Here is a 15,999-nt window from a genome sequence, read left to right on the forward strand (position 1 = left end):
CCCCAACTTTGCCTAGTGTTTACTATGCTAGATTTAGTGTTTCTAATTCTCATTATAACTATATATAAATTTATATATAGTTGCTTCTGCATTTCTTGAAACATTACTCATATGATAACATGGTAGTTATTCTTTTGTAATTTGATTATTTTTAGAATGTTTCTGAGATGCAGGTATGTTAATACATATAATTCTAGGTAATTTATTTCTTTGTACTATTTCATGGAATGAATATATTATATTTATTTATCTATTCCTCTGTTGATGGGCATTTAGATAATTTTCTTATTTTCCTATTTCTTCTCATGAAAAACATCAATAAAATATTCATGTACACGATTTCTTGGGCTAGGTGCAGGAGTTTGGCCAGTTTGGAGGAACTGCCGAACATGTATAAAACCATCAGATCTTGTGAGAACTCACTCACTATTGTAAGAACAGCATGGGTGAAACCACTCCCATGATCCAATCACCTCCCACCAGGTCCCTCCCCTAACACTTGGGGATTACAATTCGGATTACAATTCAGAGATGAGATTTGGGTGGGGACACAGTAAAACCAAATCAGACGATGTATCCATATTCACCTTTTTTGGAATATTGACAAGTTTCTCTCCAAAGTAGATTTACCAATTTATTCTCCCTTTAGCAATATGGGACCTGTTGCTCCACATTCTCACTAGCATTTGGTATTGCCAATTTGGTGGGTAGAAAATCATATTTCATTATGATTTTGATTTGCATTTTCCTGATTACTAGTAAGATTGAATATCTTTCATTTTTTTTTTGGTCATTTGTATTTCTGTGAATTTCCTCCTCATATAATTTGCAAATTATTTTATTTAAAAAAACTGAATTATAGAGCACTTAATATACTTTGACTTGCAAATCCTTTCTTGATTTTATTACTGCAAATATATTCTCCCCAGCTATAGAATACTGTAGTATTTTTCATAACTCTCTAGAAGCAGTTAACTCATGTGTAATGTTTTGTATTTGTCTATCTGTTTTTCTCATAAGATTATAAGTGAGAACAGAAATAGAATTTTTCATTTTTATTTCTTCAGTTCCTGGCATATCCACCAAAACTGTCTGAATTAATTTGAGAGTACCAGTTAATTTAATGTAGAAGCTATTGTAAGGTTGAGTTTCTTACTTAAGGCTTTCTATTTGAAGGCATTTCTGTCAACCCTAAGTCATGTAATATATACATATATTAATATATACTAATATACATATTAAATGTGACATAGTTTTTGTAGCCAAGTCAGATTAGGTCCTTTTTTAACTTTTAAAATAGAGCTTCCCTCAATTTCCAGGCAAAGAGTTTCTCTTAGAACACTGCTAAGGTCAAGATAGGTTAATATATTCAGATGGGATTGAAATAACAGATGCATTGCTATTTCCAGTCCAGAGTTGTTGGGGAAGCAGGGAGGAAGGAGGGCATAATTTGTACAGTGCTTTGTCATCTTTGCAGCTCATCAATATCAGCAGCTGACACAGGCAAGTGTTTGTCAATGAGTTCTATTGGCTGACACTGACCTTGCCGTTACAACCACTGCTTTCTTGACATCTGCTAGTTTGACACGTGGCACCGGATTCCATGTGCAGCTGGTACCTTGGATTTGAATGTTCTGTGAGTTCTATGACATTATTAGTACAATTCCTTGATACTGTCACCCTGTTATACATTTAACATCAATGATAGCTGTGTACTGTCTTTGTATTTCTTATTTCGTATTGCAGTAGTTATGTTTTAGGTGGCATGGCTGTTTATAATGGTATCAGACAACAGATGTTAAATTAGCTGTGGACTAATTAGCATGCTCAACTTTAGAATTGCTCCAGGAAAAGTTGATTTTACTATAACTTTATATAATGGGAAATAATTTAGGTAAATTGTTGGTAGGAATGAGTATCATGAATCTGAAAAATTGCTTTGCATTTAAGCTGCTACTTTTTAGGACTAAATTTGAGATTATATATTTTTTAATTTAAAAATAATTTTAAGTAGAACAAACTTGGGAATGTAAAAATGTATCATGATTTTAATGATTTGATCTTGAAATAGGTTTCAACATGTAATTCTAATTTCTTAACATAGTCTCAGTTATGCTTTGTGACTATGAATTACAGAAGCCACAGTTCTACTTTTTCCTCTTTGTCCTTCCTTGAACTTTTTTGCTCCCCCTATCACCCCTCCCTTCTCTCTTTCCTAACCTGGCATCCCAGTATTTGTACACTCTTTAGTTGAAGCTTAGGATTCCACATGTGAAGGTTCATTACTTATTTTTTTTCCAGTAGTGTCCCTGGAAACTATGAATTATCCACAGTAGTAATTGAAGATAACAATTTTGTTTATGGTGCTGAACATGATCACATTTACTGCTGGGTGTGTCAAGCCTACGATGATGGAATAATAAATGGGTACTGAACGTTCCTGCAACTTTTATTTGCAAGGCATTGCTCTTGCAATCAGGGTCACATTACCTAGATGTCAGTGAAATAAGACAGGGAGAGGGTATTTATTTAATCCACCATGAATGCATTCCAGAGTGACTTAATTGCTTTTCTATACCTCAAGCAGGTGGATATGTGTACATATACAATAGCTGGGAACCTTTTTAATTTGGGTTAACAAGGAGAAAAAAGTACTCTTTGCAAATTCAGGAATTATTTTTTTCTTTTTGAATTCCTCAAATAGGGAAGATTAGTATATTTTCATTGCATTTTTTAAGCTTGTTGCCCCAGGGTAGCACAGCTTTAACTGTTCCCAATATATCCCTGTTATTGTAAAGGCATTTTAATCTAAGAGTCACGGGAGCAAATGGATGGTGGATAAAAGCTTCAAAAATTTGGCCATTGTGAATTTCTGCAAAATCTTCTTCGCTTCATTTACTTTCTGTCTAAAAGTTGTATATGTCGAGACTTGAAGGCCTTTTGAGATGATTCCAGGTGTTACTCTAGGAATGTGTTCCAATTTTGTAGCAAACCTCCACTTCTTGAAGACATTTCTTGAAGCATAGATAGACCAGATTTGAAATCTACTGTGTTCACCCTGCAGGTAGTTTTTCACTAGGAATTGCATCCACGACAGGCTTTTCATCTTTAGCAAGTCATGGGCTTCAACTGAGAGTTCCTTAAATGGATAACTGAGGCACAAGGCCAGGCTAAGTGACAGTTACAACTTCATCCTTCTCCTCTCTCCTGACACCAGCCCCACCATTTCTAACTGGCTGTGGTTCCAAGTGGCACCTCTGAGAGGCATTGAGAAACATTGTGTGACAATAGTTAAGACTGCAGTGCTATGGAGTCAGAAAGACCTGTGCCTGAGTGCTACAGCTATTGCTTGCTGTATGACCTTGGGGGAGGTTAGTGAACCATTTTTAAGCATCAGAATTCCCACTTATTAATAGGGATTATAGTCGTACCTATTTCAAAAGTTTTTGTGAGGATTCCATGAGAAAGTACTTAATAAATGTCTGGCACACAGTAAACTTTGTGTTTATCATGATATCATGATTGTCTTCATCATCTCTGGTCATGTCAGAATTCTTGGGGGGATATTTGAAGAGATCATATTTCTCATTTGTAGCTAGGCTACAAGTAAACAAAACGAATCAGTGAGATTAAAGGGTGGAAGCCCAGCAGAGTGAGCCTGAACAGTTTTACAAACCCAGCTGCAGTGTCCTGTTAGAAGCCTTCAACTTGCCAAGCACAGATCCATTCCTTTGAAAAGGTCACTGTGTGAAGAGCTGCCTACCAGTGGCTGACTCACACAAGCATCTATTCACGCTCATTTTCCTACATGAATAGTTCCAGGGTTACCAGAGTTCTAGCCTCATCTCAAGGCCTTCATTTATTTATTTTCCCAGAGCAGTCTCATCAGGCTATGAAGTTCCAGCTTGCTTTATGTTGATGACTGCTGAGTCTACATCTGCTGCTCTCACTTCTTCTGAATTCTGAAGAAGAAATTTCTTAGGCTGCATTCCAGGCCCTTTGTATTCTCTCCCAGACCTGCCATGACAGCCTGAATTTCCACTGCTCAGATTTATGTGTCGTATGTCCTGGAATAACTGAACTATTGGTTATTTTCTATAAATACTCCATATTTTTCAGTCTTCATCCTCCTCACATTTACCACCTCTGCATGTGTGTTCATTGGTTCTTTATCTACATTTACTCCTTGGCTAGGTAATACGATTCAATCTCAAGGTTGTACATGCTCTCTATATCTTTATAACTTCCACATTTACATCTCCAGATGTGACTCTATGTTTAAATTCTAGGCTCATATATCTAACTCCATACTCAGCATATTTACTTGAATGTCTAAAAGACCCCTCCCACCTAAGGTGTCCACAATTGAACAGTGGTTCTTTCTCTTCTTACCCCACCTATTTATGTGTGTATGTTTAATTTTTAGTATTACTTTGTGCTTTTCTTGACTGAAATTTGGAATCAGCCATTTCTGCAAGGAAACCTCCTTCATTTTAGGGGAATATAGCATAAAGAAACCAAGATTTGGGTGCTTAATATGCTCATTGCTACTGGAGAGTGAGATCATGTCACCACTTTGCTGTGAATATTTCAATAGTTTCTCATCTCACTCAGAATAAAAGCCAAAGTCCGTTATAGTGGCTGACAAGGCCCTAGCAATCTGGCCCCTTCTTAAGAATCTTGCCACATCCCTTCTGGCTCTTCCCCAGGGTCATTTTCTCCAGCCACACCAGCCTCTGTTCTTCAGGGATGTCAGATAGCCTCCTACCTTTGGTTCTTGGCTTTTGCTGTTCTCTCTTCTTGGAGTATTTTCACCTAGATATCTGCATAATTTATTTCTTCACTTCCTTAAATCTTCTTCTTAAAAGTCACCTCCAAGGAAGCCTTCTCTGTCCAACCTATTGAAATCTATTGTGCTCTCACCTCCATCTTCTGCTACTCCCTGTACATATCTTCCATGCTTAGTTCCTTCTCAGCACGACCACAATATTCTAAGATATTATGTAACTTATTTTATTTATCATCTATCTCTCTCTTCTAAAATAGAGGTTACATGAGGGCAGGGATTTTTTTGTGTTCAGCTCACTGTTGTATCCCCAGGATCTAGGATAACACCTGGCACCTAGCCAGTGCTCAGTCAAGATTTTTTGAACAAACGATGAGTAAATGAATATTATGATATATGGAAGTAGGGAATGGTTTCTGGAAGTCTATTCTAATATGGCATCAAAGCCAAAACAACAACCTATAGCTGTGCCTCTTCTGTGACTATGAGCGTAGAGGGCAAGGAGGTGTTACAATATCTGCCTTAGGTATGTAAACTGCTGAAGAGGTGGAAGTTTCACATTTATAGCAAATAGCCTTGGATTCAGATTGTTTGTCTTTATCTATTAATGAGTCCATTCTGATGACTCAATGACTAAATTGAAGTGGGTGGTTTCGTAGAGGGAAAGTGTTTCAAGAAAAAGAAATGTTATTTGATGCAAAAAAGAAACATAAAAAAACCCACAGAAATCAGGGATAAAAAATAGTGGCAAAGAGGAATGAATCTAATAGAGGGGCCAACACATTTCCAGTAAGTCAGGCTATCTTTGAAAGCTTGGTGACTCCTTACTTGCATGCCTTCTCCTTCCTCTGGGGGCCACTGCCCTCACATGTGTGAGGGGCCATGAGAAGGAAGAGGATCCAAGCTGTGGACCTGCATGGGTTGTGAGAACATTACTTTGTCTAAATAAAATAAAGTAGATTTTGCTTGGGTGATGCTGCCATTTACTGAACTGTTTAAGAAAAATTTTAAAAAACAAAATACTTTAAGATGCTTATGGGAAAGATACTCTTTTTTTTTTTTTAACTCCTCCACTGTTTGAGATTCTTGCTCTTTGCCAGAAGATCCATCTGCCAGGCAGCGATCAGGCTTTCTGAAGAGCCTAAAGCTCTACCTGGGGAATGTGTCCAGAGGGAGAACACCTGGGCAGGCTGAACCTACTCATGATTTAGTGCAAGTTACTGAGCTAAACAGCTTCCTTTTGGAGTCTTCAGAAACGGCCATGGTATCATTTTCAAGTTAGCTCTTGTTCCCAAAAGGAAATTTGCATATTCTTATGCTTATGTGTTTTCCAAACTTGACACATTTAGTTTATGCAAGGTGGTTTCAGAATTGAAGTAAAATAGTTTGTCTTTTCTGAAGAACAAGCCAAGGAAAAGAGAGAAACTTATGCTTAGGTCTCTGAGGCCTCAAACTTCCTGAATATGTCAAAAGTCAGATGCTGGAGGTTCAGGGTAGGAAGAAGTGAGGGTCTGGCCTAAGTGGGAGCACCAATGGATAAATCAAGGCATACAAATATAGTAACTTATGAAATTATTGACTTATTTTACCCTTCTTTGCTTTCCCTGAGGTTCTGTAGTAGGTGAGACAATCTTGATGCCAGAGTTAAACGAGGTCAAAGAGTGTGGCCGGCCACAAAGACTGTGTCATTATTTAACCTTAGAAGATAAATGTCCCTCATCCCCATATCTCTCTAGCCCATACTTTTAATTACAGAGGGGTCAAAGAACATTCCAAAGCACATCTGTCTCTCAGGTGTTAGAGCAGACTGGCTTCTCAACTTTGGTGACCGTTGTTTATCAGTTTCTATGAAGCTCAAAAAGCTTGTCATATAAAAAGCCACAATGCTTGAATAGCTTATTATACCTGTTACAGTGGTCTCATAATTGGTAAGCAAATCTCGCGGTTGTGCCAGGTGATCCATTAGGGTATGGAGAAAAATTAGTAATCTGTGTTTTTATTTTCACCTTTTAAATTTCTATTTAGGTGCATGTGTCACATTATACATTTGTCCACCAGCACATATGCATGATAATGAATAAATAAATTAATAGATATTCTTATAGTAGAAGTATGTGCTCAAATTATTTTATTGATAAGTCCATACTCCAGAAACCTTGGGGGCCACCTTTTTTTCCCTCAAGTTCAACATTTTTTGAGGTCTATAGCAAAGAATTTTTACTGTTTTTAGTGGAACCTGGAAAAAAAAGTGGAGACTAAAATATTTAGACTTACAATTCTGGTGGATTTTAAAATACTTTGTTCCTATAACGACATACAACATTAGCCTCTTTCTTTTCAAAGAAACCTGTTTTATTTTTGGTGTGAGTTTCAGTTGAATTGATAAATTGATTCAGGATTTAAAAGACATATACAAATTTGTAGACATTCTCTACATATGTAGCCATGCTGGGTTACATAGCATTAATCATTAAAATAGAAAAGCCCCTTTACAATAATAACATTTCAACAAGGCTAAAATACCTATTTTCAGGATATAAATTCCACCGGGAATTACCTTAAGCTAAGTTTGAATATTGGGCCACCTGGTATTTTATGCTAACTGATTAGTTTTATATCCCAAGGCCACAGGATAATTTTACTCCCAGGATTCAAAGCTGTACTTTTTCTTTTCAAGGAGTACAGAATGTCGCTCAATATACATTTCGATTTTGAGCAATGACAGGTTAGCTGAAAGACTTGGGTTTCAGGACAGTTCTATATCTGATGGATGGCTTATATGACATAGCTCTAACTCTGAGACTGTCCCTCTTACAGAATGCTTATACCTGACCCTTTGAGCCTTTCAGCGACAAGAATCAGAATCCATCTCAAAAACAAAACAAAAGAAAACAAAATCCCATAATGCCAAATATACGTGAAGAATTTGCTAAAACCTGAGTTGAGCCCAAATATTGAGTTTATTTTTTAAACTCAAATTTGTATTGAACTTACTTCAGAATGTTTCTAAAGTACAGCCTGAACTGCTGCCGATCTTCAACATTTTCAAAACTATGGTACTATAACAAAATTAGGCCATCAATATATTCTCTGAATGAAATTGGACTTGATTTAGCACCTCTGTCTTAAGTCTCTGAATTGAGCTTTCTTATAGCAGTAGGGTCCTCATCGTCTGCATACACCACTACCAATTTGTTTATTAATCTTTTCTGACAATACCTCTCCCCCTTTTAAATAGCCTTGTTTCTAATTTGGAAGTGTCATTCTTAGTGAAACTAAAATGAGTTGCAGGATTGATCAGTTTTTGTTGATCAGTTTTGTTCATTTTCTCATTTTTTTCTTTCTTATGCTTTTGGATATTAACAGAAGAAACATAAGCAGCAGTTCGTAAACTGCCTCTCAAGCATCAGAGGGAATTTGATGCTGTGAGATTTAGGCTTTCTTCTCAACTTTTCCATGGGTGATAATGTCCCCACCATGACTCTTCCAGCAGAAAATGCCCAGACAGCTGTATGGAGTCCATCAGCTATCTTATTAGGATGTCTTGAGATATAAAAGTTATGCACAATAGTTAAGTGGAAGATACTTACTTTGTTAGACTCTACTAAACTTAGAAATTACTTAGTTTTTCCCAGGAAGATAATCCTACCTCCATAACTAGTTAGCAAGTTTGATAGACATTCTAGGCTTCCTATTTTAACTTATTTTCACATTCTGTCTAGAACAACTTCCCTTTGTTATTCAGAAATTAATCCTACTGACTTCAAGACAGTCATTTTGACTCGCTCTATTTCAGCAAACATTAGTGTGAGAACCAGCCTTCATATTGTCATAAGCATCGGTTGTGTGCACGGCATTCTATCTATGTTAAGTATTGTATCTGTGTGTGTGTGTATGTGTGTGTGTGTGTGTGTGTGTGAGACAGAGAAAGAGAGAGAGAGAGAGGGACACACACACACACACAGCACAGTGGATTTTGGCATGCATAATTTTAACATTCATAAGCAATCCTAAAGTTCCAAGCCATGGACTCATGTAGTGATTTGTAATTTTGCTTAGCATGAATTTGAATCCCACTTATTTGAGATTAATGTAGGGGACAAAGTGACTTTGTTAATGAATAAGTCAACTGTACAGACCAAAATGTATCATTGTTCTAATCATTTTTCATGTTTTTATGGGGGCTATACTGTAAAGCAGTGTTTCTCAACCTTAATAATATCGACATTTGGGCCAAATATATCTTCGTTGCCAGGAACCGTGCTGTGAGTTGTAGGATATTTAGAAACGTCCCTTGCCTCTACTCACTAGAGGCCAGGAGCACACCTCTCCCACTTTTTATGACAACCAAAATGTCTCCAGACATTGCCAAAGGTACCCTGGGGGGAAAAAATCACCCAGAATTGAGAACTGCTTCTGTAGAGTAAACCCCTGGTTGATGAGTGAAAGCTGAGCCATCATAAATTGTACCCGTATTTCCTATAGTGTGTTGTTATACATTGAGATTTTGTTTCTGAGAGCACCTTCCATTCATAAAATTACAAAATTGATTTAAAATTTCTACAGCCACTTAATTAAATATGGAAAATTATGGAAAATTATGAAATCTATATTCCTTTTAAGGGAGACTATCTTTTCCTATTGAGTTATCAGCATATCCAATATAGGCATTTCACTTAATACTGTCTGAGAGAAATTATTTAGCAATTGAAGATGGGATGAAATGGTAAGTGAGAAAATTATATTCAAGGAATCTAGCTGGGAGACTGACTTAGTCTTGCCTATAGGATAGAAGGAAAGGTGGGTTTTCAAGATCACGTGGGAGAAAAATCACTGAGTTCCTAAAATGATCATTATTACTGCCAGGTAAATCTAGCCATTCCCCAATTGCAGTGAAAAGCAAGCAATGACTTGATCCTAAGTGTCTGAGAACAGCTCCCTGAGCTCAGCCACAGTTCCTAGGATCTATTGTCATGATCCTTCTAAACCCTAGGCCTCCAGTTATAGATCTCTTTTAATTATACCAACACTTGTTGTTTCAGAACTTGTAAACTTTCAGCCCATTTAAACATTCTTATTTACTGTCTCACTTTTTTGTAATTAACTAATTTTATGATTTCTGCTATTAATTCTTTGGTTTTCAGAGTCATTTCTCTATTCAACAAGATTGTCTCTAAACTAAGCGTGTGTTTCTGAATACCACTTCATGAAGGTGGTTTTCAGAAGGGAAATTGCAGCTAAGTGAAGCACTGATAATTTGTCAACCTGGGTAGTTTTTACAGCATGACTTGACTAGGATCTGGAATTAAATATCCAAGAGAGAGGATTAAAAATAGGATGGGTTTCAATATCAGAAAGTGAATGCTTGAAGTGTCTTTCCTGTCCTTTTCATTCAATTTATCACACGCACTGGCACTACAGTTTCTGCAAATGAGTAGTGTTTCCTCTAGGGCTTCCAGATTTAAATGGAACCAAAAGGGCTGAGTTCTTTTGGCTGGATCATTCTACATGCTTGTGAATTGCAATTTCAATGCAAATCATAATTATTGGCCTAGCAATAGCATATACTGTATCCCTCAAATGAAAACAAGAACTAGAAAGTTTTGCCCCTTTTATATATCTTGGTACAAGTTCAAATCATTTCACAGTAGTCCTATGTTTGACAGGCTATTAACATCTTATTTAATATTATTGTTTTATTCATAGATAGGCAAGTAGTACCGTAAAAGTCAGGCGAGTTTTGCAGAACATACTTCTTTATTGATCATATTTTCCCAACAAAATATATTTAAATATAGGTATAATTATACCCACAATATAGCAAAAGTATCACTACTGTTAATTAATATATAAATAGTGGTATAACTATATTATTATAATGATATAAATAGCATTATAATTTAATTCATAATGTAATAATATTTAAATGGTTTTAATATTAAAATGGTTTATTTAAATTAAAATGGTTTTAAATCTTCTCAACAATTGCAAGACGAAGTTTCTGAGAGGATTGATAAGAATTATAGTCCCATTGACTTTCCATCACTTCAGTGTGTGATTTGAGTGGTTTTATTGCAGGGAAGATGGGCTGCAGAGTTATTGAATCTATTTTTTTTTTCTTTTGAGAGAGAGTCTTCACTCTTGTAGCCCAGGCTGGAGTGGTGCAGTGGCATGATCTTGGCTTACTGCAACCTCTGCCTCCTGGGTTCAAGCAATTCTCCTGCCTGGGCCTCCTGAGTAGCTGGGATTACAGGCATGCACCACCATGCCCAGCTAATTTTTGTATTTTTAGCAGAGATGGGGTTTCACCATGTTGGCCATGCTGGTCTTGAACTCTGAACCTTAGGTGATCTGCCTGCCTCAGCGTCCCAAAGTGCTGGGATTCTAGGTATAAGCCACCATGCCCAGCCCGAGTTATTGAATCTTAAAGCTGCACAGAGCTCTCAGATCATCTGGTCCAGTGGCTTTCAAATTTGTGAACCACAAATACAGTGTGTGTGTGTGTTCATATATATCTGAAACAGAGTCTCTGAAATAGTGCTTATTAATATATTTTCGATTAAATTCTATTCTATTCTATTCTATTCTATTCTATTCTATTCTATTCTATTCTATTCTATTCTATTCTTCTTTTATCTAATTCGTTTTTTAAAATGCCAAACAGGACTCACTGATAGTCATGACTTGTGGTTGGAAAAACACGGATCTAGGCTAGCAGCTGTGTTTTACAGATGGGAAATCCAGAGTCTGGCAACACAAGTGTTGTCTAAGGTCAAAAAGCTCATTAGCTGCTAAAACGAGGGGGCTTTTTAAAACACAAGTGGAATTTCAAATTCAAGTCATTTAGCATTTGGTGCTTACAAAATGATTTATGGCTAGTCCAGAAAGCACTTTCGGATTGCTCTATTGGAAATCAGGAGACAACTGTGACCCATTACTCCTGTGCATCCGCACAGGCACACTTATTCCCTCTGCTACTGGCCCTGTGACCCACCAGGCTAAAGGCTGTATTGGAACATAGGCACACCTATTTCTTTGCATATTTTCTTTGACTGCTTTTGTCATCCAGTGGCAGAGCTGAAGAGCTGTGACAAAGACGGTATGGCCCACAAAGCCTAAAATGTTTACTTTCTGGCCCCTTACAGAAAGAGTTTGCCAACTTCTGGGAATTGTCTGATAATGAATGTAAAGCACTTACAATTTCTGACACAGGATAAATATCCAAAGAACAGTAGCTGTTTTTAATTTTAAAGTGGTAATGGTGATTAAGAGGATAAGAATTACAATTATTATGTTGGTAATGATAGAAATAATAAATTTTGATGGTGTCAATAGTAATGATAATGATGATGGCAATAATATTAATAACAGCAATAATAATAATATTTTATTTAGCTACCAGCTTTGAATTCTTTTATCTTATTGTAGAAGCCACTCCTGATATTGCCTAAGTTTTTCCTTTTCCCTGGTATCAAAATTCATTTTCAAGGAAGAATCTGAAACTTGCTGTAAGATAAAAAAAAAAAATGAAGCTCTACATATTGAGGCTTAATTGGCAGGTATGGAGAAGTATTTTGAGAGAAAACTCAGGTCTTCTTGTCCATTGTTGCATAAAGCAGCCTCAGTCTGCATATTTTTATTTTATTCTGGACAACTGCTTTGCAAATATTTGCAGAGTATTCACAAGGGATTTCTGTTTCTTCCTAAGATCACACCATCAGCACTGTCAAAAGCTCTTACTTGTGTGGGGCTTGATGGTGAGTCCTGGCAGTTTTCCCATATCCCACAGGTGTCCTGGGAAAATATATTTGTCTTCTTTCTGACTTTTTTTTTTTTTAATTTACAAAGCTAAGAAGAAGAAAGACATTCTTGTTTTGTACCCATAATTTCTGTGCTACACTAAGGTTTCCTAAATTTTGGAGAATTTGCTGTCTATGGCCTAAAAAATATAACCCTCATTGCTGCCACCCACCGACCCCAAATGTGTCTTAAAGTAAATTAGACTCACTCAGAAACTTAGCATCTGTTTCTCTTCTCAGTTATAAATTCACAAATAGGATGTTTCTCCTTTTAAAGTGGTTTCCCTAGCAACTAAACCAACCTTATATGATCAGAGCAGTTTGTCACTTTTGAAGTTTGACTTTCTGACAAGGCCTTCTGGCTCAGGGAAATGAAGAAAACAACCTCCAAACACAAACATTTCGAAAACACTCAAGTGATGATTTACAAATGAATTACATTTGGGTGATTTTTCTGTAGATTGTGTGTCAACCACCATCACCACCACGCTCCACAGCCAGCCAGCAAAGATAGCCATCTCTTGAAGTAGCTATCGTCATAGCAGAGAACAGATGGGAGTGATTCTTAAAGGGGCTAAATTACCATAAAGATGTATTTTGGGAAGCGGTGGGTAGACAGAGATATAGGAAGACTTGCAGCAGGCAGCCACACAAAGCGAACTCACCTTGTGATTAGTTCATCTTGCTTATCTTGAGGCTAAAGTAAACATATTGGTCACAATTCAGGTACATCGTGGGGAAGACAGACTTTTGCTCCCTCTACTCAGAAGGAGTCAGGACAAAGTGAGAGGAAGGTGGGTCTCAGCTAACCCACCTTAGACTGACTTTTCATTTATTTTCATTATTTTAAAAATAATAATAACTGTTATTTGTCTTTCGTGCTTTTTTTCCCCACTGTTGCTGTCCTATTTACTGATGACCAGAGTTAGGACCTCATTCAATTCTGGGTTTTCCTTTCCCTTCCAATCCCTTTCTGACTCCTGCTGTAACTGGAATGCAGTTGGGGATGGATAGAGTGATTGGGGTAAAAAAGAAGGGTACAGGAAACAGGACAACTGTCTGCTTTCTAATGACATTTTCTATTGACCCCTCAACAAGGGGAAGAGAGAAATTATTTATGAGATCTGTAGAGACCCCCAAATGAGCTTCGAGTGAAAGAGCTTATGAGAGAAGAGTAAAAACAACAGCGGAAGCTTAGTCAGAGTTTGCAGAGTCAGAATCTCTGTTCTCAGTTTGAATTCATGAATTTGTTTGTTCATGAATTTGCTTTCATGGTCTCAAGATGAATTGCAAGTTTTCTTCCTTGGAAGATTTTCCCCGAGAGCACGGTGTTCCTCATAATAAGCAAGTCAAATGGGCAGGTCCCTCCCACTTGCTGGTACTTCAGATGGAGTGTGACTGAGGCTCTAGCAGCATCTAGCAGGTAGGCGATGTATGAAGTAAAGTAAAAAAGGCATGTTCTGCACAACAAAAAACTTATATCTTATGCAAAGTAAATACCAATTCCAGGAAGCAGAAGGGAAATGTTTTGAAAAGATTTGTTCTTACAAAGGAACTTTTTAAATTTTTTGGTCAGATGTGTGGTGCATGCCTGCAGTCCAAGATACTTGGAACTTTTTAAGACCTTTTTTGGGGGCACAGGAAAATTTGTCTTCTGAACTTTGTACAGATTATATTTCTTATACCAAGCTTGGAATACATTCAATTGAAGAGTTCTGTAAGTATTTATCAAATACTTACTATAGGTTTATTATTAAAATTGGTACTTTGGAAAGAGAAGCATAAAATGCTGACATAGTATGGTAGACACAGAAATGTGGTGCCCAGATCCCGTTTTGAGAAAGGTCTTGCTGTTGAGCTGTGGAAGGTGTGGTTGGCAGGTAGCATCCAACTGTCACCTCCTTCAGGGTCAACCTCATCTGCAGAGAGGCTCTCCACTGAGTGTACCTTCTCGGGGAAGCCCACAGCTGGTGAAGCCTTGGCTACTTTGGCTGGATATGGGAAGCGCTTATGGGCAGCACTTCCTAATACCAAGTGTTAGGGAGCTCCTAAGCTCCTTACCCAATTAGCCCAGGCTCCATTGGGTCTGCTTCATCACCCAACTTCTCCCTCTGCCAATCCTGCCTCTTCTTCTTACTTCCCACCAGCTGCTCTCTCATAAATATCTGGCACCCTGAATTTTGTCTCTGCATCTATCTCCAGATAATCCAACCTGCAACATCCAGTTATTAATGATTTTGCAAACAATTCAAGAGACAGGACTATTCTATGTGGGTCATTGATGCTGTGGCACAGAATGTAAGTGCTACAATGTTTTTAGATGAGACGGAGAGAGCTGAGCACTTCAAACATTAGAGAAGACTCCTGGTAGATCTGAACTCCTGACCTAAGATAGTGGAGGGTGAGAAGACAGGAAGGACAGGAAATGGAGCAACTGAGCCGAAGCAAGTAGTGCGGCTGTGAGGAAGTTGGCCTGGCTACCAAGAAGGCTACATGTTAGGGAAGAGTTAGAAATTGAATTGTTGTTAATTTACTTAAGATTAGATCAGGCTGTGCAAAAGAGAGAAAACCCCAAAATAGATGTTTGCTTTTTTCTTACATTAAGAAAAAGTTCAGAAATTTAGTTTTGTTCTTGTTTGAGATCTCTTCTTGCCAATTTATTCATGATTCTGTCTTCTTTAGAGGGAAGCCCTTATCATCAGGATCTAAGATGGCTGCTAGAGATCCAGCCATCACATCCAAATTCCAGACAGCAGAATGGAGGATGAGATAAAGAAGGGCATGTCACATCATTTTAAAGAAACTTACTTTTAATTACTTCTCATTGGTTACAACTTAGTTACATAGCCATACGTACTAGTAAAGGAGGCTGAAGAGTATCCCTTCGACTAGGCAACAACATACACAGCTTAAAATTATTGTTATTTTAAAATTACAGTTGAAATATATGACCACTCAGATGGTGGAAACAAGTGAGACAAAATAATAAAAAAGCTAAAATCTAGTGTCTTGAAAATGATGGTGGCAGTAAAACATTCCTAGAAATTACAGAGAAGAGTTATTTTATATATGTGTGTGAAATGTCAAAAGATTTGGGGCATATTTAGTTGGAGGTTAATATTAATAATCATCTAACGTATGTTGAGGGTTTTCTATGTAACAGGCATTATTTCAAATGCTTTATATCTATTGCATAATTTAATGGAGCCTAACAGGTAGGTTTTTATAAATGGCCTATTATATATAAGGAAGTGGAGATTTTCAGGAAGGAAGACAATTGACCAAGGTCACACAAACTGTAAATGGCAGAACCCAGCCTCACACTCATGTTTGTCAAATTCCCCAATCCGATGACTTGCACCATGGTTGCTCAATATTAGAGTCAGCAAGAGAAACATCAAAGAGGAGAAGCGG

General features: G+C 37.3%; 1 protein-coding gene across 12 annotated transcripts in view; it reads left to right on the plus strand.

The window, feature by feature from the left end:
- The window catches only part of MLIP (muscular LMNA interacting protein), a 247,311-nt gene that overhangs the window by 63,011 nt on the left and 168,301 nt on the right, over nt 1-15,999 (plus strand). For 2 of the 12 annotated variants that reach the window (XM_047419511.1, XM_017011470.2), the window contains exon 1: nt 1,413-1,636. The exons of the other annotated variants lie outside the window; for them this stretch is intronic. In XM_047419511.1, coding sequence (XP_047275467.1) covers nt 1,604-1,636 — 33 coding nt within the window. In that variant the 5' untranslated portion in view covers nt 1,413-1,603. Of the gene's footprint in view, nt 1-1,412; nt 1,637-15,999 lie in introns of those variants that run through there. 12 annotated transcript variants of the gene reach the window in all.

Source organism: Homo sapiens, chromosome 6, assembly GCF_000001405.40.
Source record: "Homo sapiens chromosome 6, GRCh38.p14 Primary Assembly".
NCBI lineage: Eukaryota > Metazoa > Chordata > Mammalia > Primates > Hominidae > Homo > Homo sapiens.